We start from the raw sequence: 24,999 nt of genomic DNA, 5'->3' as shown, positions 1-24,999 counted from the left end.
GGGCCAAGTTCTAAAAGATGGCAACTTATTTGCTCAATTATTTTATTTATTTATTTATTTATTTATATTGTTTTTGAGACAGGGTCTCACTCTGTTGCCCAGGCTGGAGTGCAGTGGAGCGAACTCAGCTCACCGCAAACTCCACCTCCTGGGTTCAATTGATGAACCTGCCTCAGCCTCCCAAGTAGCTGGGTCTACAGGTACGAGCCACCACGCCTGGCTAATTTTTATATTTTTAGTAGAGACAAGGTTTCACCATGTTGGGCAGGCTGTTCTCAAACTCCTTACCTCAAGCGATCCACACATCTTGGCCTCCCAAAGTGTTGGGATTACAGGCATGAGTGCCCGGCCTGCTCAGGTAATTTTGGAATTCCTTTATATTTTTCATTTTTATTTTTAACTTACTACTACTATGAAATACATAAAAGACCACAGCCGAACATGTTGTTTCATAAACAAACAAACAAAAAAAACTGGCATATTTGCTCTTAAGAATCAAACAGGCCCTTATAACATAAACTGAAAGGTTTATTTTGTCATTTTTTCTAAAGAATTACACATGGAAGACCAGTGAACTGGTGATCTGCTTTTAATTTGTTTTAATGATGTTATAGCACCCCCAGCAGAGGCTCAGTCAGCTGACTCTTCAACCCAGCTCAGTGTGGAAAGTGTTTTGTAAGTTTGAAGAATATCACGGAAGTTTGTATTTGTGGGTATGAGGCATTAGAAGTTTCTGCATGAGACTGTTATATAAATCCCTACTGTCCTCAGACTTGTACTCCTTCTACAGCCCATTTCTCCCACGCGGTGTTGTAGCCAGGTATGCCTCTTGCTTTGGCCCCTGCACATGCACAATCTAGTCCAAACTCTATATCTTTGCTCACACTGTTCCTCCAACTGTCCAAACCTTTTCCTCTGCCCCTAGCGATGACATTTTCAACTCCCTCTTAATTTTTCCCTGCAGTGCTTTTATTTTCCTAATGTTGCATGATTGATACAAAATAAAGAGAAAGTGGAAGCACTGCTAAAGATAACAGTTCAGGGATAATTTGCTATTACAAGTTTAGAGTTCTCTTTCTCTTATACCCTCCCTTTCAAAAATGTAGATTTAACTGTATTCGTGAGTGCATATATATTATAGATGATATATGACATGCAGTATATATTATAGACACTGATATGGTTTGGCTGTGTCCCCACCTGAATCTCATCTTGAATTGTAATAATCCCCAGGTGTCAAGGGCAGGGCCAGGTGGAGATAATTGAATTGTGGGGGCAGTTTCCCCCATGCTGTTCTCGTGGTAGTGAATAAGTCTCACGAGATCCGATGGTTTTATAAATGGGAGTTCCCCTGCCCAAACTCTCTGCCTGCCCCCACGCAAGATGTGACTTTGCTCCTCATTTGCCTTCCGTGATTATGAGGCCTCCCCAGCCATGTGGAACTGTGAGTCCATTAAACCTCTTTCCTTTATAAGTTACCCAGTTTCAGGTATGTCTTTATTAGCAGCGTGAGAGCAGACTATTACAGACACACATCGAATTCTGTACATACTGTTAAAAAATCTATTCTTATTCAACAGTATACTGTAGTTATATTAATCAGGACTCTTTCAGTTCTAAATGACAGAAATCTAATTTGAACCAATCATAGCCTCTCCTAACAAAAAAATTTTAAGTCCATGTATCCAAAATTATTCAGCTCTCTACCTCTGAAAAGTCCAGAGCTAGTTAGCTTTAATAACAGCTGGTTCTGAAAATCCAAATGGAGCTGTCAGGATTCTTACTCTACTATTATATTTCTTCTCTATCTCCATCTCTTAATTCTGATGCTTGTTTTTGCTTTTTTCTCTGTCTCATTCTTTCTTACTCTTGAAAAACTTTTAGACAAAATGAACTTGACAGACTTTATTTAAGCAAAGGACAGTTCATGAATTGGGCAACACATAAAACTGGAAGAAATTCAGAGAGCTCTGCTCCAGCGGCACAAGCAGTGAGCTTTTATAGCCTGAAGACAGAAGCAAAGTAATTACCTGATGACTACACGTAGTCATTTGCCTCATTTATGTGTGGTCTGAGAAGAGACCCCTAGTTATATAACCAATCAGCTAGTTGCCTGGTTGTGATTGAGGCTAGATTTTTTTTCAAGACAGACAAAACTGCCTCCAAGTTAAGTTTTGTTTTGCTTGCATAAAGGTTTTGGGTAAAGAAACAACCCGAGCCTGATGACTTCCTGCATATTTTGCTGTAATACTACTAAAAATAATTTTCTTCCTGTAGCTGAGAGGGGAATATCTTTTCCTATATAAGTTCTAGGAGAACATCTCAGAGTGGAATTCAGCTTGGGAAATTTGTCCATTACTGTATCTATCATTCTGTCCAACAGGAGGGAGAATTCTATTGGCTAGCTTCAAGTAGGGAAAGAGGGCCAACAAAGGAAGTGATGCTTGCATAAAACAGGAAAAATCCACCATATATCTCTACATCAATATGTAAAGTCTCTTATCTCTTTGACCTAAAGTGGGCCAGAAAACAAAGGCTATTCTAGGTTAGAGTGATTTGTTGTTTTCATCTTGTTTTAGTGCAAAGAATAGACATGTGATCAAGGTTATGAGATACTGGGGCTCTCCAAACTTTTTCTTGCTTTTCAGAAAAGAGATCCTGAGGCTTGGTGGTCTCCAGAGCATATAGAATAGATCTGCTGGCCCAGGGAATCACAGAACCAGATCTCGTTACTCTCAATATAGTGTTTCCCTGGGGCGAGAAATACAATTTTATATTCCCCTATTTATTCTTGTTGTGTGATGGCACACTTGAGAATTAGTGGTGCAGATTGGCCTTGTTTCACTGCACTTTTAAATAGCTAAACAGTATTCAGTTTTATGATTGTATTGTTACTTACCTCCAACCAAATGATATTTTAGCTTGTTTTGCCAAATTATTCTTTGCTATGATTCATAACGATGCAATGAGTATCCCTGTTCATATATCTGTTAATCTCTCAATTGTTTTATTAACACAAATCCTTATAAGTAAAATTACTCAAAAAATTTTGCCCATTTTTAAAGACAAGATTGATTTCCTTCCCTTCCATGAATTGTGCTTTTACTCTTGAAGGCCACACTAATAACTCTATTCTACATATTCCAATGTTTCCCTAATATTCTCTTTCATTAGTTCACTTATTTGACAAGTTTATCCTGAGTTCCTGTTATGAGTCAGCCTCTATGCACAATGCAAAGGTAATTACAAAGAAAAAATAATCCATTGTCCCCCTCCGTTAAGAGAGTAATTTAGTTAAGGAGACAGATAAGAGGACATGTAATTGCAATTTGTGTGATTTGTGCTATGAGGGGGCGGAGGTGCAAGTGCTATGAGAGCAAAGATGAAGTAACTGTCTTGAGAAAGAGAAAAAGCCTTCATTCAGAAGTGATATGTGACTTAAATCCTAAAAACATGAATGGAGAAAGGTGGTCAGCCTTTCCAGGTCGAGAAAACTCCATACACAAATACATCTGGGCATGGAAAAGGGTCAGTATATTCAAGACCTGTGGGAGTATGATAGGAGTCACTGGTATCTGGAAGTCCTGTCAAATGATATAAAGCATAATTCTTATGCATTCTAAAATCTGAGGACCATTCTTCTGAAGCTCCTATGTTTACTGTCCTCAGTAAACTGCAAACTTTTTGACGATGGAAACCATGTCTTATTCATTTCATATCCACTGTTTCTCATATGGTACCTGGAATGCACGCATCTGTGCACACACAAATGTGCAAATGAATCAATTGAAAATTCAACTTGTGATTGAGTAAAGCCAGTTTTACTCAATAAAATATATGAATTTGGAAATCTTATAATAATGTGTATTTTTTATTGCAGGAAACAAAACAAAATTTAAAAATCACCTATATCCTCAGCAGTATTAAAAGTCTCTCTCTCTCTCTCTCTCACACACACACACACACACACACACACACATACACACACACACAAAATTATAACAGCTTTCTAGCCTGCTTTTTTGACTTTGACTCATCTCCCTGTCATTAAGTAATCAATTCCAGTGTGATTTTTCTAACTTTCACCTCTGTAGATAGACATCTAAATGGTTTCCCCATTCTGATATGGGAAACTGTCTGATATATTCACCTTACCTTTAACCAGTCTTGGCCAGGCACCTTCACCTTTGTTGAGTTGTATTACTGTAGTGTCGTCCCCACCTCCGACATTGTTTCCCCACCCAAAGGGGCAGAGTGATCTTATAAAAACAGAGATCGTCCAAAAACCTTTAAACTTAGAATCAAATTCAAACTCCTCCTCATAGACCCCTGCAGCATTGTGTCTGCTCACCTCTCTCTCACCTCTCCTCTTGGCCATCCTTGTGCTCAGTTTCTGTGTTTTTGCCATATAAGCACATAGCTTCTCAAACACATCTGGATACTTTCCACACCAGGGCCCTCACATAGGTCACTCTTCTGCCTTGAATGCCACGTTCTTCCACTTTTCCCTCTGTTGACTTCTCATCTTTCATTTCTTGCTCTTAATACCTTCTGAGAAGCTGTTTTCCTGATCACTCAAGTAACTCCCCTTCTACCCTGCACCCACTTAGGACAACTTCAAATAGATAATTATATGTAGGCTTATTTTCTTATTCCTCCACTAGACTACAAGCTTTGCACACTTAGGGATTTTGCCTATTTTATTCATCAATGCATACCCAGATTAGTATAGAGTCTGGCACATGGTGAATTCTCAAAATAGTGTGCACTGAAGATATTAAGGGGAGAATTAAGACAATGGTTCTCAAATGTGCTATCTGCACCAATAGCATCAGAATCACCTGGAAACTTAAAAATGCAAATTCTCAGGCCTCAACTGAAGCTACTGTTATCAGAAGCTCTGGGGGGAGGAGTCCAGTTATCTATTTTTTTAACCAGCCCTCTAGGTAATCCTGACATTCAGTAGCTGTGCAACCACTGTTGTATCTGTTTAGGAAGGGAACACACACATTTTGTTTAAAGATGATGTAGCCAGAATTTCTTAGAATGTGAGATTTGAACCTTAAATATCACTGAATTTAGTCTCTCATTTTACTGAAAGAAAAGTCCAAGGATAATTTTATTTTATATTTTAATTTAATAATTAGTGATAATTCTGCTTATCAATTTACTTTTATGATAGACATACATATTTCTTATGAATATTAAGTATAATTATGCAGCACATACTTTTGAAAAGTTTTCAAATATGAAGCTCCTTTTATACTGATAGCTGAGTATGTATTAATTTAGCTAAAATTAGGTGTAAGTATGGAAAATTGCAGTTTGTATTTCTCTCAAGATGGTTCAAGCAATGAATTGGTCTAGGTAATTTAACAGACTCTATTTCTCTGTGATTAATTTTGCCCATATTGATTTTGTGTTATTAAGGGGGAAGCAATAGTTTCCTATGAAGTGTCTTATGAAATCTGGCTCAATGAGCAATGTACCATCATAGAGTTACAAAAAAAGCTAGATTAATTTTTTTCAAATTGGACTTCAGATTGGATCCAAAACACCTGAGCTATCTGACCTTAGTTAACCGGATAAAGTGTGATGCTGAATACCATATGGTAAGACATGTATCCACGGGAAGAATAAAAATCATGAAGCAAATGTAAATACTCTACAAAACTTAAAAAATAAAAAAAACTAAGAAGGAAAGAAAATATTAATTGAATTTTCATTATGTAATGGTATTATACTAAGTGCTGTTTCTTAGACCATCTTATATTATTCTCTTTCCACCAATTTTTACTTTTTATTTAAATCATAGGTTCTCTAGTTTATCTAATGAAGACACAAAGCCAATTCTTAAAAGAATAGTCTGTGATGAAGCATACACTATGATTTTCTATTGGTTTTTCAATACAATAAACATTTTTAAATTTTATATGTGAACTTTAAATATTCCCTTAGTGGAAGTAATTTACAGAGAATACATTTGAGTAGAACTTTTCTCATCACTGATTTTTATATTTCTAATATTATATAAGAAATCATTTAAGTACTTATTTTTCATAAAGAACACTTATTTCCATATCAGTGATTATCTATGCTACATGATCTTATCTTTAACATAGATGTAGAAATGGAAATTTTCCCGATGGAAGCATCTGACATTTTTAAACCAAAACAAGAACTGAATCAAAATTAAGTTTCTTATTACCTTTAAAACTGTGAGAAAATAAAGACAGCAGGTTGAAAACATTTTGTTCCCTAGCTTACATCATAGTGAACTTCGTACCTGATGTGATTTATTTATTTTAACATTTAACACTATGAGATATGCTCCTTTAAGTTCAGATGTTTTTCTGACTTTCTATTTTGATGAAAACCAGTTAAAAATATTGTATAAAATTATTAAGAAAAATTGAAAATATTTTAAAGGTAAATATATTTTATGTTTTTGAATAAAAAACCATTTTAGAGTAGATGCTGTAATTATTTCAATGAAATCAATAAATACATTCAAAAAGACAAAACTTCAGAGGTGATATTTGGTTTACATGCAAGATAAACACAGATATTTTAAAAATAACACATTTAGATCATACTTTACTTTAAAATATATATCTAGTATTTTGAAATAACAGATACACTCAATTCCAATTCTGAAATCAATATTAATTTCTCTCAATTGGCTTCTCTACATATGTTTAAGAAAATAGAAAAATAGTATAGAATTCCTAGATTGATGCACTTTTAAACATACCACAGTCAGAATTCTGAGTTCAGCTGCATTTGGAATCCTTCATTGCTGACAACAGTCTCAAATGACAATCTTCTTTAAAGCACTCTTCAGTGTGACAACTGAAAGTTCTCCCTTTCACCGCCTGCTTTTTCCATTAACTAGAATGTTACATACTGAGTGCTACACAAAGCATTTGACTGGAGGGTTTTTAGCCTACTCTCTAAATGCCAGAGTTTGAATAATCATTTTTTTTTAAAGATAACTCATCTCTTTATAAGAACATCTGTATTTTTTATTAATTTCATTTTAGGAGTTGGTTATAGGGTGGAATAGGGGGCTGCTTTCATGTGTCATTGGTTAATGTCTATGCATGAGTCACCTAAGTGACATTTAATCATATAACGTCAGTGACATTTTTATGATTTTACTGTCAATTATTAATAATCTATTGTATGTGCCATTTGAGCTGGGCAGATTAACATGGGAGGTGGGAGGTGTGTTTCAGTTTGATAATAGTGGTCTGGAAAATACTAACTTTTTAAACGGTGAACTAGGTAACACTTTTTTGATAGCGGAGTGGAGTTCACCAGGAATTCCTGTAATTTTTTTTTCTGGTTTTAAAGGAAATTGCCTCATTTTCTTGTTCACTGGAGAAAGGTATAATGGAAAGCTTTGTGGTTTCTGAAAAATCCTGCCTGTGTTCAACTTGACATTGCATTGTATTGTCTCTGAGCTGCACATAATGATATGATTGTAATCTGAGAGCACAGGAATTAACTGTCACCTAAAGGTAAACAAGCAAATAAAATTGAATGCTTTTGTCCTCATTTACTTAACATCCACATAAGAGATGCAACAGAGGATTACATTTATTTCTGTTTTAAAAATGCCTCTGTAGGGCAGCTTGTAATTGGAACTGACAAGACACTGAACCTAAGAAGTAACCACTTAATGTATATGGTCTTGAGTTAATAAGCATGCTTTAAAATTGATTTTCTAGCAGGTTCAAGAAATAGAAAAAATAACTTCACACAATGTTTGAAACAGTTAAAGAACAAATGGTATATTACTCTAATATGTAGGTTTAAATTGTCTGTGGCATGAAGGGATTAATGAAAGCAAATGGGTTTCCGTGACTGAAACCCTCATCTGGAATCCTGGTTTGCATCATGCAAGAAGTCAACCACCACAAACAAAACAAGAATTAGTTTTTTAAAACAGAAGTGTCAGAAACTATTCAGTAAACACAACAGTGCTTTATTCTGTAGGTATTTTCTTCTCTACAGTGATAATTCCTCAAAATATTCATATTTTGATTGACTGGTGAGGTTAAGAAGGCTGTGTGCGGAAATACATGGAGAAAGATGACATGGGGAGATGAAGGGCTATAAGCCGCAAGCTAGGGACAAGTGTTTTAAAATTTATCAGGATCTAACTAAGCACAGGAGCCTCAATTTTATTATATTTTCTTAAGTATAAAACATTGAAAAAACCCACAATATTCATGCTGCCTAATAAACATAATTTTCCAGTAATGTGAACATGACCCCTAACTACCCAATTCACTTGTCTCATGGTTTCTATAGTCCCTTGCACACACCTCCATTACGTGCAGTGTAGCACAGTGCTTGACAGCATGGTCCCTGTATATAATTCCTGCCTCCTCCTTACCAGCTGTGTGATAACAGGAAAGTTACGTAGCCATCTAAGCCTTCATTTCCTCACCTATGAAATGGGGGTAAAAATAGACCTTACATTTTAGAGTTGTGATGATAGAAAAGTAGAAGTCATTAAAATCCCTGTTAAGATCCCTGGTAAATGTTAGCTGTTGTAATCATTTAACATTATTATTATTAATATTGAAACTTCCAATCCAGTGTTCACAGCCTGGAGGGCTTGGAGGTGACAGATTAAGGAGGTAGATTTGACTTTCAGTATGCTCAAATAACACGGTTTCTGATCTGTCTTCTCTGGCTGCTTTCATGTCTGAACAACTAGAGAACTATTTGATTTGAGCCTGTGATTGATTGAATGTTTAAATATCAAGTAGAACCATTATCTGCACCATTTAACTGGAATGCCCATACATTAATTTATTGAATTTACTTTCACATCCCATCAAACTATGTATACTTTTTTTGCAGAGAAGTTATTGCAGCTCTCATTTTAGAGCTAACATCCTTCAGGGAGGCTTAGGAGATATATCTTCCAAAATAAATTCTTAAGTACTCATGGGAAAAACAAATTGGTGATTCGAGAAACCTCTATGTGTTTAATTACTGAGACATTAGTGTCAGGGGAGAGAAAACACCTTTGACTTATTTTTTGTTTCTTTGTATCATATATGAAATACGACTTCCTAAATAGGCACATTTTTTTCCCCTTATAGTCTTTCTGGGAACTAAAGGCATCTACCCCAACAAATCCATCTCTCACCTAATTTCATTCTCTCAGGTAAATCGTCTCATGTCATGACTTCCTAGCCCTCTGCTATAGACATATTGCAGCTCTACACACAACTGTTGGCAGCTGTAGGAGCTTTTGTGCAGTTTTATTTGTTTTGTGATGGTGGTGGTGTTGCTGCTTATTTCATATTTTGATTGGTAAGGGGAGTTCCCATACTGTAATAGATTCAGTTGAAAATATTTAGTCTACTTATTATTATTTGATCCTAAGGAATAGAAACTTTCTATTATTTGACTACTTTTGTTGAGGTTTAGTGATATTATATTTGTAACAAATTATCTATTTTTACTTAGGGGTTTGTTGATACAAGAATAAATTACAAACAGGTCAATCTAGTTACAGGAGGTTGTAAATTAGCCACACAATTTAGAGCTGCCTTACTTCAGAGTAATGTTTCAGGGTTTTGGAAAGAGATAAATCTGAGAGTATATCTCAGAGATTGAACTGGACACAGAAAAGCCGAGTCTACAGTTAAAGAGACACACCACAGTGCAGCTCTGGTTCCACCTAGCTTACAGACTTGGGCAATAAACGTTTCTGTTAATTCCTTATTTTCTTGTTTGTCAAAATGAGAGTATTACTACCTAATGTCATTGAATTATTGTGAAACTTAAATTAGATAATGTATATAAAGTGCTTACCACAGCTTCTGGTGCAAAAGTGATCAGTGCATATTAGGACAAAGAAACTGAAATGCTTCTTACCATGGTTATTGGGCTAAAAAAGGTGAAGTCCTGAATGGCTATTGTCATGCCAGTGTAACAAAATGGAAAAACTGTTTGGAAAACAAGACTATCTTATTTTAAATCCTGGCTCAGTCATTTATTAGCTGTATGAGATTGTAAAAAGGTAATGATATTATAATATTTATGGCTTAAATCTATGAATACTTAAGTTTTATGTCCTTTGAATTTTACCACCCGGTGTTAAAAACTATAAACATCTCTTGTATATCATTCTAAATATTTTCCCCATGAAAACCAGCTAGATATTTTTATAGAATTGGCATTATACTGCACATTTTTTTACAGCCACTTTATTATATAATTATACACTGTGATCATGTCCTATTATCCTTAAATAGTTTAGAGATTTTCAACATAGTACTGCCTTGTCTGAGGGCATTACGAATTACTATTTTAAATGTTATCATTTACTCTTGACTCTGGAAGTGGTCCTCCCCCACCACAAATTACAATGTGAGAAACATTCTTAAACAGAATTATTTGGGCTAACTTCTTGCTTTTTTTTTTTTCTGTTTTTTTTTTGAGAGGGTCTCCCTCTCTCTCTCTCTCTCAGGTTGGAATGCAGTTGTATAACCATGGCTCACTGTAGCCTCCACCTCTCAGGCTCAAGTGATCCTCCTGCCTCAGTCTCCCGAGTAGTTGGGACTACAGGTATGTGCCACCATACCCGGATCATTTTTGTATTTTTTCTGTAGAAACAGGGTTTCACTGTGTATCTCAGCCTGTTCTCAAACTCCTGGGCTCACACTCCAGATTACTTATCTGCCCTCCTCAGCCTCCCAAAGTGCTGGGATTATAGGCATGAGCTACCACACCCAGAAATTTGGCTAACTTCTAATTGCATTCTCTGCATAAATTCCTAGAACTAATCAAAGGGCAAAATTACCTTTAGGTACTGAACCTTCCTTGTGAAATTGTTTTCCAGAAAATTTGGCTCAATGTACATATTGGCCAGCAAGGAATAAAAATGATAGCTTATAGTTTAAAAGTACAACAAAACCTAATACTGATATAAACAATTTCTAATTTCAAAAAACATTGCTTACATTTGTATTTCTGTAATTAATAGTACAGCTGATCGTTATATATGTTAAAATTACATTGCTTTTCAATTTATTTCATTCTTACATTATAAATTACATTATAATATCTGTGTGAATTAAGAATATTAGCCATTCTTCTGGCATATATATATTTTCCAGTATGTGAGCTGATCACCACATCTTAAGCTTGTCTCTTTTTGATTTTATCAGAATTTTGACACTGATATATTTAGTATCTAAATAGTAAGTCTATCCATGCTTAATTTTATCACTGATTTTAAAAGTCCACTTAAAAAGGCCATTTTTCTATTCTGTCATTAGAAAAATTGTTTATTTTTGTTTTGCTTTGTTTTCAATATATTCAGTTTGAGTATACCTCTTTAGCTCTTCAGTAATTCATTTGTTATGTGAGATGTCGTCTAAGAATATTTTAACTCTTTCCAAATAATTGACTAGTTGTTGTGAGAACATTTGAATGTTTTTAAATGATTAATATTTATTTCCTGATGTGAAATGCTACCTTTATCATAACATATACACCACTCCCTCACATGCGCCTGCACACACACATACATGCACACACCCAGGTTTAAGCAGTCTACAGAAAATTTGAAGCAACTCTGAAAACTCTTGTACTAAATCTTTTGGAAAATTTACACTAGCAATCAGCTAATGTAGAACAAGTCTTCACCATTTACTTAGAGAGGTTTCCGAGGGTCAAACTAAGTACTTAAATGGCACAAGGAAGGGAGATTCCTTTTAGGGTTGCAGGGAGGATAATGCCTTTTCAGTATTTCAGAGAATACAAAGACTCTGAAAACAGGACGAGATTACTTTGGACTGATTGAAAAGGAGACTTCTTAATGTTAGGTAAGAAGAGACATTTAAAAACATGGACAAAAAGATTAATAAGCCAAGGTGATTTTCTGTGTAACCCATGTTTTATATGAAAATTAAATATTTAGGATACCACTTAATAATATAAATAAAAGGTTACTTCAGGTACTAAAGTTAAATGAATATTAATATTTTCTTTAGAAACTGACTATCCCAAAAAGAAGTAAAATTTATTCTCTTAGTATTTCATGTATAATCTTGTCCATTAAAGCAGCCATATAGAGCCAAGTTAGTCATTCATCTTGTAGTTTGTCATCACCATCTCACAATATCTGGACAAAAATAGGAAGTAGCACATTCAGAATACTAAGTCCTATACACAATTTGAGGCAAAGAGCCATTTAGGCAAATGAAATAGTTCCTGACATCCACATAAAAGGTATGCTGTAGAAGACTACAAAAGCTATCTCTTTCTCACCTTCTCCATCATATGACCAGTGTCTCCAGTCCTAGAGAAAATTATTTCTAATACTCATTGAGATAAAGATGAGTACCATCTGCCAATGCCAGTTGACACAAAGTGAATGGCCTTGTGATCTAATTTTAATGAACTGCTAAAATATTCATGTCCAGATTTTCCTTGTCTATAACCTTCTTCCTGTTTGATTTGATACCCAATATCCTTTCAAAGGTGAAGTCACTGTAACTGAAAAATAGATTAATATTCTCAGACTCATTAATGGCAATATCTGTAGTTAATTTGGGCATCGTAAGTGACAGTGGTGGACCCGTGAAATATCCCAGCTGAGACCGAAAGAGCTACGCAGCTGAGCTTCACTAATGCCCACTACGGATGCCATGGATTCTTTACCGTAGGCTTATTCCTGCTAACCTAGATTAACTATAGATAATCCCTGTAAATTGACCACATCTAGAGGCCTCAGCTGGTATGTGGGATGTGGCTCCTTGGTGGAGAGAGGGATTCTAGTTTTGAGGATCACACAGTTTGGTGGTAGGACCTCATTATCTTCAAATGTTGTTCTCAGTGTTCTCCATATTCATGAAACAAGAAAAGACGATATTTACCCAAACCATCTTAAAAAGAATCCCCCTCATTTGCTCTAGAACTTTGCTTGCAGTCAGGCCAGGTCCTTCAGTCTATGGATTTTTGGGAATGTTCCTTTCCTTTCATTACAAAATGCTTCCTTAAATTGCTTAGCCACATAGGGATGAAAAAGCCTTTTGTCAAGAGGTAAGACAGAAAGTAAATTGGTCTTAAAGAAAAGTTTTATAAAAGAAATATCTGCACTCCCATATTTATTGCAACAGTATTCACAACAGCCAAGACTTGGAAGCAACCCAAGTGTCCATCAACAGGCGAATGGATAAAAAAAAAAAAAGTGGAACATATACACAATGGAGTACTATTCAGCCATAAAAGAATGAGACCCTGTCATTTGCAACACTATGGATGGAACTGGAGGTCATTATGCTAAAGGAAATCAGTCAGGCACAGAAAGACAGACTTTTCATCTTCTCACTTATTTGTGAGAGCTAAAAATTAAAACAATTAACTCAGAGATAGAAAGTAGAATGATGATTACCAGGGTTTGGGAAATGTAGGGCAAGGGGAGAGGGGATGATTAAATGGGCACAAAAAATATTTTGAAAGAAGGAATAAGATCTATTATCTGATAGCACAATAGGGTGACTATAGTCAATACTGATTTACTTGTACATTTTAAAGAGTATAATTGGATTGCTTGTAACACAAAGGATAAATGCGTGAGGTGATGGATACCTCATTTATCCCAATGTAATTATTATATTTTGTATGCCTGTATCAATATATCCCATATACCTCATAAATATATACATTTACTCTGTACCCAGAAAAATTAAACTGTTTAAAACATTGCATGTTTGTGACTGCTGTTAACTATAAACACATTTTGATTAATAGTAATCTTGGAATTTTACCTTGATTTAATGTTTTCACAAGGAAGGCACTTTTGTAAATAGAGTTTTTAAAAAAAACAATTTTAGAAAGTTTTAGATAGGTTGCTTAAATACCATGTGATTTCAGTTATGCTATTTAAAATATACTTGGGCTCCATAGAATTAAATGCATGCTGTGAATATGCTGTGTCAAACTCTGCGACAATTTTGCAAATCTTCCTAGACACTGAGGAAGAATTAACTTCATATTAACAATCATTGGTATTAGCCAATGTGTTATTCTTTAACATTTGTGGTTGTCTCCATTATCTCTTGCAGAGAGACAAACCATCCCCAAACAACTCTTTGGCTCATGATTCTGTGCACAGGCTGGACTCAGCGGGGTAGCTCTTCTGGTCTCAGTTGCGATTTTTCATAGGTCTGATTTTCCTGGCCTTTGCTGTTGGATTCTCTCATCTCTCTCTGCCTCATTTGGGGCAACTGTGCTTATGAGCCTCTGGTCCCTGTGGTCTCTTCTCCTCCTCAAGACTAGCTCTGACTTATTCACATGGTAAAGGGAGAATCCCAAGAGAAAGAATGGGAGTTGAAGACCTTTTGAGTTCAAGGCTCAGTGCTGGCATAATGTTACTCCTGCAACAGTCTACTGACAAACATGAGGACCAAGGCCTGTTCAATAGACTCTATCTCTTGATGGGAAAAGCTGCAAAATCTCATTGAAAATAGAGTGGATACAGGAAAGAAAAGATTGTGGCCAATTTTATATCTACCACAATGCCTCTGAAATATTTAAATATAACTCCTATTGTAAAGCTTGAGGCTAACTAAATACAGATTTAAACCATGTTTAGTGCTGCCTCTAATTTCTAGAATCTCATGGATTTCCCAATTGATATGCATGTCTGAATTCCTAAACTGCATCCCAGTTAGTACTTGGATAGCAAAAGCTATTTACTGTTTGCCATATTGGTCCTAAAGTACCATACCAAGCTTTGTGCATTATAATTTCACAATAAATAAAGTATCTTATTTATCAATGTCCCTTCATCATAGTAGATATCAAAATTATAGATCCTTTTGATCTGTAAAATTTTGAATAATTTCAGTATAAATAACATGCTAAAAACTTATGATTTGAAGCAAGATATTCTAAAGATACAATGCATTGTTCTGAAGATTAATTCTACAGCAAACTATAGTTACTCATAAATACATTAGCTTACAAAATTATTACAAACAGTGCATATGTACCTGACAAAAATTAAAATTCACTACCCCAACTCAACTCAGAAAATGTTTGCACAATGATTGATAAACCAAATGTTTAAACACATATACAGTCTATTTACACAACTCCTAGTAAATTAGTCAGATGTTTTTCTGTATTTCTTTGTTTTTACGTTTCATAACTCAACAGTGCTTCCTCATAAATTCAATATAAGACATCAGGTTGCAGGACTTGGGGTTATTTCCTATTATTTTAGTGTTTGGCTGATGGCAAGCTTGTTAGAAAGCTTTGTTTTCTGTAATTTAATACTTGTTATTACTCACTATGTAGTTTGTATTAGGAGTTACTTTCCCCCCTTCAAGTCTGTGCCCCCTTTCTGTTGACTCCTCATAAATTTGCTTTGTCATCACTAAAATGATCTCTTTGCAAATGAGTAACTTTTGTGTAGAAATAAAATATTGGTTACATTGCATAATATGCACAATGTAGATTACAACAAGCACAATTGTCACATATGATGCTATAAGGCACACATCTTCAGCCATATAATTTAACTATCTATCTATCTATCTATCTATCTATCTATCTATCTATCTATCTAAATAGGTTCATTTGAACCATAGGAAGTTTCTATTTGTAGGACACAAATGAATAAAAATTGTCAATGTCATAAGATCTAACTGAAAATATATATGCTTTAATTCACACACAGACACACACACACACACACACACACACACACACACACAATTTAATGATGGGGTATAATAAGAGAAAGGCCAACAAATTTATAAAGCACACAGGGTATACAGACACCCAAACAATGAAAATTTAGATTATTGCTTTTTTGAGGTTTCCTGTGACAAATGTACACAAAGGAAATTGTCTAAGTAGGTAATTTTGCTCTTCACTTGTAGATAAACTTTAAAAGTAGACTACCAAAATGGCATTTAAACATTCTGGTTATTGCTCAAATGGAATTTATGCTGCACTCAAAACTATAAAATGGATAAAAGTGGACACATTTTAATAGAAGCTAGAAGAACAAGTCACTCCGGTGTGTCATGATGTTCTACAGTTTGAGTGGAAGTATAATAGGAGAAGGGTATGTAATCAGGTAGATTTAGTAGGGCATTAGAATAAGATATATTGGATTGACCTATTGTGGTCTGTTACCATAGTCATACACCATTCTCTTATCATTAATGTTACAATCATAATATGCATGCAGGTCCAACTTTTTTAAAACTTTGATATCCTAAAGTTCTAGTCTAGTCAAAGTGGAACTTGGGAAATTGCTACTGTTGAGAAGAAATAAAATGGTGGATATCATTGATGGCATGTGGTAATTCTAGAAAAGCAGATAATACAAACTATTTAATCGTAGTTCATTTTCTAATTATTTCAGCATATTGTGTTTGTCTTCCAGTCAGTGCTATATGCACATTAAGAAACAACATCTTAATTTCTCTTATAACTCCTCCTCTCAGTTCATTTGGAACAGTGCTTTACAGATAGTAGAGACTCTAAACAGCCTTTATATTTATCAGACAGACACAGGGAGGCAGATTTAGTAACCATAGAAAGATAAACACCTGATTTGCAAAGATAACTTAATTATTAGCCCATAATACTGATGCAATTTAATAAAACCAAACAAACAGTAATAAAGAAATCTGGCACAATTATCCCTGCATCTATGTATTAGTTTGGTCTCATGATAGTAATATTTAGTCTCTGCCATATTTATTTACTAACACACTGGTGGGTGACTAATAAAGATATTTGCAAAATTAATCCAAGAAATACAAAATCAAATATCACCAAGAAAATTGTATTCAAGAATGTGATTATTAGCCATGCAGTGAAAATTGAAACCTAAGTCATTCCTTGTGTTAAACTGCACTTAATATCCAACTATCTTTTTTACAAAGGCATTTCCTTTTTCATCAACACAAAAAATGAAAAAAAAAAAGTGAGCTTATCCTGAGCTAGGATTTGTCGTGAAAATCATCAAAAGGGAAATATGGATCAGTTACATTTGCAATGATGAAAAGAAGCAGCATCCATTTTGTCTTTGGTATCTGATGGGAACACTCCCATGCTTTGAAGAGTCCATGAAAGCATTTTGTTTGAGGGATGGCAGGATTGTTGGAGCCAGGAGTTTCTAAAATTGAACTCTACCTCATTTTTGTATTGGTGAACTATAATTTCAATAAGGTATTCTCAATCTTTTGCTATGCACCAGACACTTACATGGTTTTCTCATTTTGTCTTCCAATAATCTTGTCAAGCAGACAACCAGAAGCATATTTCAAATGAGAAAAACAATTCTCAGTGAGTTTAATTAGCCTTATCAAGTTATTACAACTGGGTAGTAGAAATGGAATTTAAATCTTGGTTGATGTGATACTAAAATCCATGTTCTCATTAAGTCATGCTAAGAAAGATGAAGAAATAAAGCCTTAAAGGGACTATTAATGAATAATTTTACATTTCAGATTAAGTATTTTAAACATTCTGTTTGAGATATATGATGAATCAATATAACAAATATGAATATCAACTCTATATACAACTTTTTGCTTCTGAGTTCTTAATAGTACATATTAACATGTATATTCTTTTATATTCTCCAGCAGAAAACCAAATATGTAGATGAATATTGTAAGGTTTTAAAAATGATGCTCTAAAAATGACTTATTGATAATTTAGTTCTCATTACCTTAGATAATTTTGTCTTGAATTCAGATTTATCTTTGATAACAAAGTCATTAATGAGACGAGATCGGTCATAAGTAGCGTGTTCTGATTCATCCGTGTAATCCTTATCTTTTCCTAGGGCTATAAAAGAGAAAGAGAAAGTTATATCCATTTCTATAGTTTTTCTCTTTTTTCATTAAACATACTAATCTCTCCTCTTTCATGTTTTCCCAGAGTTTAGCCTATATATATACTAGAAAATACATAAAATTTGTGTGGCATAATTTTCAAATAATCCATACATTCAATAAATAAGCACATAAAAGTAATGTGAAAGCCTGCCTATTATTTACTAATGCTGACACTGATAGTGACTTTCAGAAGAATTAAATTCATCTATGCTATTCAATGTACTTCAAATTTTTGAAAATAAAATTGGAACCATGAAAAAAATCATCATGTTTTGAACTTGAAGATAGTGACATTTGTAAGAACTGTACAAGCATTTATTTGCTTAATTAAAAACTGCATTGATCTTGAGAGTCTGTTTTCTTAAAAGCTGGAAAAATTTGAAGGGTGCAAAAAGTCTGAGAAATAGTAGAAAATATCTTAATAAACATTACAAGAAACATAAAATCAGGGGATTGAAACAACTGTCAGGAAAGAACAGAGAACACTGAAAAATGATGGTTACTAGCAGAATAGCCAAAAACTAAAATGCTATAATATCAGTTACACATAAGGATGTACATGAACAATGAATAAGCTGTAATTAATGTAAAATAATATAAAATAGGAAATCTCTATGGTGTCTATATGACCAAGAATTCTTGACACACTTCACTAAATTTATATTCCATGTGATATAAATATCTCTGCAAATTAAAAAACAGATTGCTATATATTTAGCCCTTTCAAAGATATCAAAACATCTTAGAGTTATTTGATTAGATCAGTTGATATCTACTAAACGTGAATTTTGACATGGAAAACTCTAGTGCTTTCAAGATTTCAGTCAACTTATTGTACAGAGGAAAAACAATTTTGTTTATAGTATATCCATTCCTTTATAAATAATGGTTAAAAACTATTAAAACATAATATGTTACATCATGGGCAGCTAATAGTATCAGGTTTTTAGTGGTATAAACTAAAATTATATAGGTCATATTATGTCTTAGGATGCAGTTAATGGCCAGATATGTTAAGAAGCTCTAAGCTTTTAGTGGTTACACTTAGACCTATTAACCATACCTAACTCATTGATGGTTAACATTTGCTAAGTGCATGCAATAAGCTAGAAACTTTACCTGTATTATTTTCTTTCATTCTGATGACAACTTTATAAAGTGGGTATAATTTCTTCCTACATTTAATAATAAGCAAAAAAGGAACATGGAACATGCCAAAGTCACTAAACTAGTAAGAGGTACATCTAAAACTGAAACAAATTCTGATCTGATTCCAAAGCGCATGCTTGTGAATATAATATGTTTCCCCCATATTTAGGTAAGTTACATTGTATTCATTCAACTTTTGTTTATTAAACAACCCTGATATGCAAGATACTCTTTTACAAGTTGACATTAGAGTGGCAAACACAATTCTGCCTTCATAGAACATTGAAGTAAGAGAAGAAATGCAATTTTAAAATAAGTAAAATATTAAGTATGTCTTGTGGTCAGTGAATTTGAGAAAAATACGTAGATAGGAAGGATGAAGGTGTGAAAGGAGTGGGGGGTGTCATTTTAGTAAAGAACATAGTAATATTTGCACAAAGATATAAAGAGTGAGGCAGTTAGACACACAGGTAAACTGGAGGAAGAATGATCAACACAGAAAACTTTAAAATGCACAATCTGGATTTGCATTGAACTGTTACCTAAGCGTGAAAGAAACTGAAATTTTGGAGTTATATTCTTGGAGCAGCTACCAAAACCCTACCATTGACTGCCAGTTTGTAAGGCATAGAGTGTTTTGTGTTTTTATTTCCTTGCCAATCCTTTCTCCCCCTTTCCTTCCTTTCCCCCGGTAGGCACTCTCGCGCTCGCTCGCTTGCTCTCGCTCTCTCTCTGTCCCTGTCTTTCTCTCTGTCTCTCCATCATTTTCACCATTGGTTATTAGAGAAGCAAGAAATCCTGGTTTGGTTAAACAGCAATCGGCAAATGGCATGTGCTGTTGGGGAGCAGGCACTGGCTTGTGGATCACAAGATGTCATTTCTCATTCTAAATCTGCCACTTCCTTAGCATGCAATTTCCTTTTCCCAAGTCTCTAAGGGTCCTCTAAACTCTAAAATTATCTAAATATGAATTTAATGCTTATAAAAGATAAAATGACAATTTACATTAATTATTTTATTTTCCATGGAACACAAGAAATTAAACCTATAGAAGTTCATTACTCATTTCCTGCTCCTATTCCACTCACAATTTAGTTTTCTAGGCAGAGATTTTTCTGTTTACTTTTTTCTTTAATTCCTATAACTCATCTATTTCTGGAAAAGAAATACACAGCATCATCTTGCTGGAGGAAAGCTAAATCAATTTTGAACATTTGCCAAATACCACCACATTTATGAAGTCTTTTCAGATCTTTTTTTCCCCTACCCTACAGCGCTGACTAGAGCTAATCATTTTATTTTCTAAATTCCTTCACATTTGTTTTCTTTTCTTTTTTACTGCCCTCCCTTCCTTCCTCCCTTCCTTCCTTCCTTCTTTCCTTCTTTCCTTCCACCCGCCCGCCCCCCCCCCTTTCTTCTTCTTTTTCTTTCTTGGTATACTGGAGAAGTCAGCATAATATCTGGGTGAAAAAACTATCTGTACGCCAAACCTCTATGACATGCAATTTACCCATGTAACAAACGTGCACATATACCTCTTGAACCTAAAAGTTGGAAAGCAAAGAAAATTTTTCAATAAATGCTTATTAACAGAATAAAAATGAAAAAATATATAACAGAAGTAGAAAAATTGAAGTAAATTAACTAAGAAAACAAATAATATTAGAGTATGCAGATAGTTTTAAATCACTGTCCTGATGAATGATATGCAAAGATATTGCTATGACTTGGATATGGTTTGTTTGGTCCAGGTCTCATGTTGAAATCTGATCTCTAATGTTGAAAATGAAGACTGGTGGGAAGTGTTTGGATCATGGAGGCGCATCCATCAACATGTTTTAAGAGCAAAACAGCACAACTGGAAATGCATTCTAAAATTATAATCTAAAAGAAAGAAAATCTGTGTTAGCAGGAATGTTCCTTTAAGCCTATGAATAATAAAACGTAGAAACTATTGCCATCTTAATAAACAAGTTTATTCTAGTTACACAGGCTAAAACCCTAGGAGTGATCTTGACTCCTCATTTTCTCTTGTACCCTACATCAAATCCTTCACCAAATTCTTTTAACTTAACATGAAGCATTAACTCTTTAGTACATTTCACTCTTCAGCACATACCACTAATATGTAATGTGTTTTTACTTATTTGTCTTTTTCATTATTTGTTCCCCTCACTAAGGTATTTTTTGTGAGCCTGGCCTGGCCTATATATATATATATGTATGTGTGTGTGTGTGTACATTTTTTCCCACTTTTGTTGTCTTGTTTGTTGACTGCTTTCTCCTTAACATCTAGAATAGGGTCTGACACATAGTTCATTCAATAAATGTTTATTGAATGACTAACTGGATTTAAATGCCCAAATCCTGTCTAAACTGTCTTTAAATTATAGCTCAAAGCTGATCATTTATCAACATCTGATTATAGTTAATTAAATGAACAGAAGTCCATTCGATTCTCCAAAATGATCTTCCTGTATCCATCTTTTCCTCCTACCACATGATAGCCAGGGTGGCCCTTTTAAAAACCCAAGATAAATGATATTAAATCTCTATTCAAACCTTCTAATAATTCTGCATCTCCAGGTAAAGCCATAGTCCATACAACAGCCCACTGGGCATATGCATCATCTAGCTCCTTACTATCATTCCCTGTCCAGCTCCTACAGCTCTACCCTCATGCCCTCCAATCCAGCTGCACCAGGTTATTTGATGTAAAGTATGTTCTCACTGTGGGGTTTTTGCACTTGCTTGTCTCTCTGCAGATAATGCTCAATATCTGTTTTAGCCAGGGTTCTGTTCACTTGTCACCTCATCAGAGAATCACTGTTTGACCATTATTTCTAAAATACAGTCTCCATAGTTCTCCCTCTGCTCGCAATGCTTTATTATTTTTTATTATTTTTATCAGCACCTGACATCAAATGATAAAACACACACTCATATAAAACATATATGCTATATATGTACATATACATCAACATCGGGCATTGAATGTATACATTTATATGTATAAATGTTATATCTATCTCCTCCTAACTGTAAGTGCTATAAGTGCAGTGACTGTTTTGTTCATCGCTATATCCAGATATTTAGTTCATTGTTAATTGCATTGTAATCTCTTAGTAATTGTTAAATTAACTAATAAATGAATGGTATGCTTATATATGGGAATATTTTGCATCCATTAAATTGCTTTGCAGACTGGCAATGTACAGAAATGCTTAAACTATAATCTTAAGTTAAAAAGCTGTTTTAGGCTATTCTCACACATTTCATTTGAAATATAATTTTCCTTCTGAATGTAACTTTGTAAAACAATATAAATGTAAGGACAAACAGTGAAAAACTATAGTATGAAGGAAATGTAAATTGTGTTACCTATTTTAACTAGGTAGTGGTAGTCCTCTCTCCCTCACAGATATTTTTTTTCTTGCTAGGAGTTATTTGTATCATAACGGCAGAATTTACAAAGCTTTTTAGAGTTAGTATTAGCGTCAGTCAACATCTGAGAGCAACAATGGAGACAGTCATATTGCATTTTGGTTAATGAAGCTAATTATTCTGCCATCAGTGAGATCTTCTGAAACACAAATGAAACCTACTAATGTGTTTTGGTTGTTCTCAAGGGCACAGATCCTTATTTTTATGAAATCCTCCTCATGTGGTGATGAGACATTTATTGCACATATGCCCAGAACATCAATTAAATTTCAAATTAGAAAAATGTTTAAGCAATAGCACTAAATTACAATACCAAATATTATATTTCCTATTTTTAAGATGACTTTCTCCCATATTGTAACATTTCTGAAATCATGGCAGTAACCTATTTTTCCCAAAAGCTCTTATTAATTTGATGATGCTTCCTAAAATTGATAGTGTTTTAAAATCTAAAAAGATCAAAGAGTTAAGAAAAACAGATTTTCACAAAAAAAAGACAACAGCTTTCTGGAACAGGTGGTAACAGTTACAGTAAATCTGATTATGACAAATAGAACTCTTGCTGTTCTCTAGTAGCAGAATAATAGGAAGGCATACATCCATAAAAATGCAGTCTCAAAGCTCAATAAAATCACTTCATATGTTGAAGAACAAAGGCTGACATAGTGGCAAGGGAATCAATATTGGTTTCAACAAATCCAACTTAAAATCTTTGTTTTATCATTTGTTAGCTGGGTGGCAGTGAGTCCGTTACAGTTTTTTAACGTTAGACTTTAGAATAAAATATTCCCATAGAATATTTCCAAGGATTAAATGCAAGAATCTATACACAGTTACTCAAACACATAAATATATATTTTCTTCCTTTTGTTTGCATTCAATTCACAATTTGAGTACTGAGACAACTACAAAAAAATAAGTAATTTAGGGCTACCAAAAAAGTCCTATCTTTAATTTTAAAGCCTAAGTAGATAGGAAACAATGTAATTACCTCGAGTATGCCAGTGGAAAATTTTAAATTTAATCTATAAATCTGTTTTCTTTTTTTTTTTCAGAGTCAAAACATTTTTATTTGTTTTCTTTCTTTTTTCTTTTATTATACTATAAGTTCTAGGGTACATGTGCAAAAACGTGCAGGTTTTTTTTTTATTTCTTTTTTTAATTATACCTTAAGTTTTAGGGTACGTGTGCACAATGTGCAGGTAAGTTACACATGTATACCTGTGCCATGCTGGTGCGCTGCACCCACTAACTCGTCATCTAGCATTAGGTATATCTCCCAATGCTATCCCTCCCCCCTCCCCCCACCCCACAACAGTCCCCAGAGTGTGATGTTCCCCTTCCTGTGTCCATGTGTTCTCATAGTTCAATTCCCACCTATGAGTGAGAATATGTGGTGTTTGGATTTTTGTTGTTGCGATAGTTTACTGAGAATGATGATTTCCAATTTCATCCATGTCCCTACAAAGGACATGAACTCATCATTTTTTATGGCTGCATAGTATTCCATGGTGTATATGTGCCACATTTTCTTAATCCAGTCTATCGTTGTTGGACATTTGGGTTGGTTCCAAGTCTTTGCTATTGTGAATAGTGCCGCAATAAACATACGTGTGCATGTGTCTTTATAGCAGCATGATTTATAGTCCTTTGGGTATATACCCAGTAATGGGATGGCTGGGTCAAATGGTATTTCTAGTTCTAGATCCCTGAGGAATCGCCACACCGACTTCCACAATGGTTGAACTAGTTTACAGTCCCACCAACAGTGTAAAAGTGTTCCTATTTCTCCACATCCTCTCCAGCACCTGTTGTTTCCTGACTTTTTAATGATTGTCATTCTAATTGGTGTGAGATGATATCTCATTGTGGTTTTGATTTGCATTTCTCTGATGGCCAGTGATGATGAGAATTTTTTCATGTGTTTTTTGGCTGCGTAAATGTCTTCTTTTGAGAAGTGTCTGTTCATGTCCTTCGCCCACATTTTGATGGGGTTGTTTGTTTTTCTCTTCTAAATTTGTTTGAGTTCATTGTAGATTCTGGATATTAGCCCTTTGTCAGATGAGGAGGTTGTGAAAATTTTGTCCCATTTTGTAGGTTGCCTGTTCACTCTGATGGTAGTTTCTTTTGCTGTGCAGAAGCTCTTTAGTTTAATTAGATCCCATTTGTCAATTTTGGCTTCTGTTGCCATTACTTTTGGTGTTTTAGACATGAAGTCCTTGCCCATGCCTATGTCCTGAATGGTAATGCCTAGGTTTTCTTCTAGGGTTTTTATGGTTTTAGGTCTAATGTTTAGGTCTTTAATCCATCTTGAATTGATTTTTGTATAAGGTGTAAGGAAGGGATCCAGTTTCAGCTTTCTACATATGGCTAGCCAGTTTTCCCAGCACCATTTATTAAATAGGGAATCCTTTCCCCATTGCTTGTTTTTCTCAGGTTTGTCAAAGATCAGATAGTTGTAGATATATGGCATTATTTCTGAGGGCTCTGTTCTGTTCCATTG

At 34.5% G+C, this 24,999-nt stretch overlaps 1 protein-coding gene across 5 annotated transcripts in view; it reads right to left on the bottom strand.

Annotated features, from left to right (window-relative positions):
* Window positions 1-24,999, bottom strand: part of ANO3 (anoctamin 3) — a 474,482-nt gene that overhangs the window by 182,407 nt on the left and 267,076 nt on the right. For 3 of the 5 annotated variants that reach the window (NM_001313726.2, NM_031418.4, XM_047427399.1), the window contains one exon: window positions 17,735-17,853. In NM_001313726.2, the coding sequence (NP_001300655.1) occupies window positions 17,735-17,853 (119 nt within the window). Of the gene's footprint in view, window positions 1-6,754; window positions 6,929-17,734; window positions 17,854-24,999 lie in introns of those variants that run through there. The other 2 variants (XM_017018118.3, NM_001313727.2) reach the window with 2 other exon arrangements.

Source organism: Homo sapiens, chromosome 11 (assembly GCF_000001405.40).
Source record: "Homo sapiens chromosome 11, GRCh38.p14 Primary Assembly".
Taxonomy (NCBI): domain Eukaryota; kingdom Metazoa; phylum Chordata; class Mammalia; order Primates; family Hominidae; genus Homo; species Homo sapiens.
The sequence above is the reverse complement of the archived record's forward strand: the minus strand, read 5'-3'. Positions and strand labels throughout refer to the sequence as shown.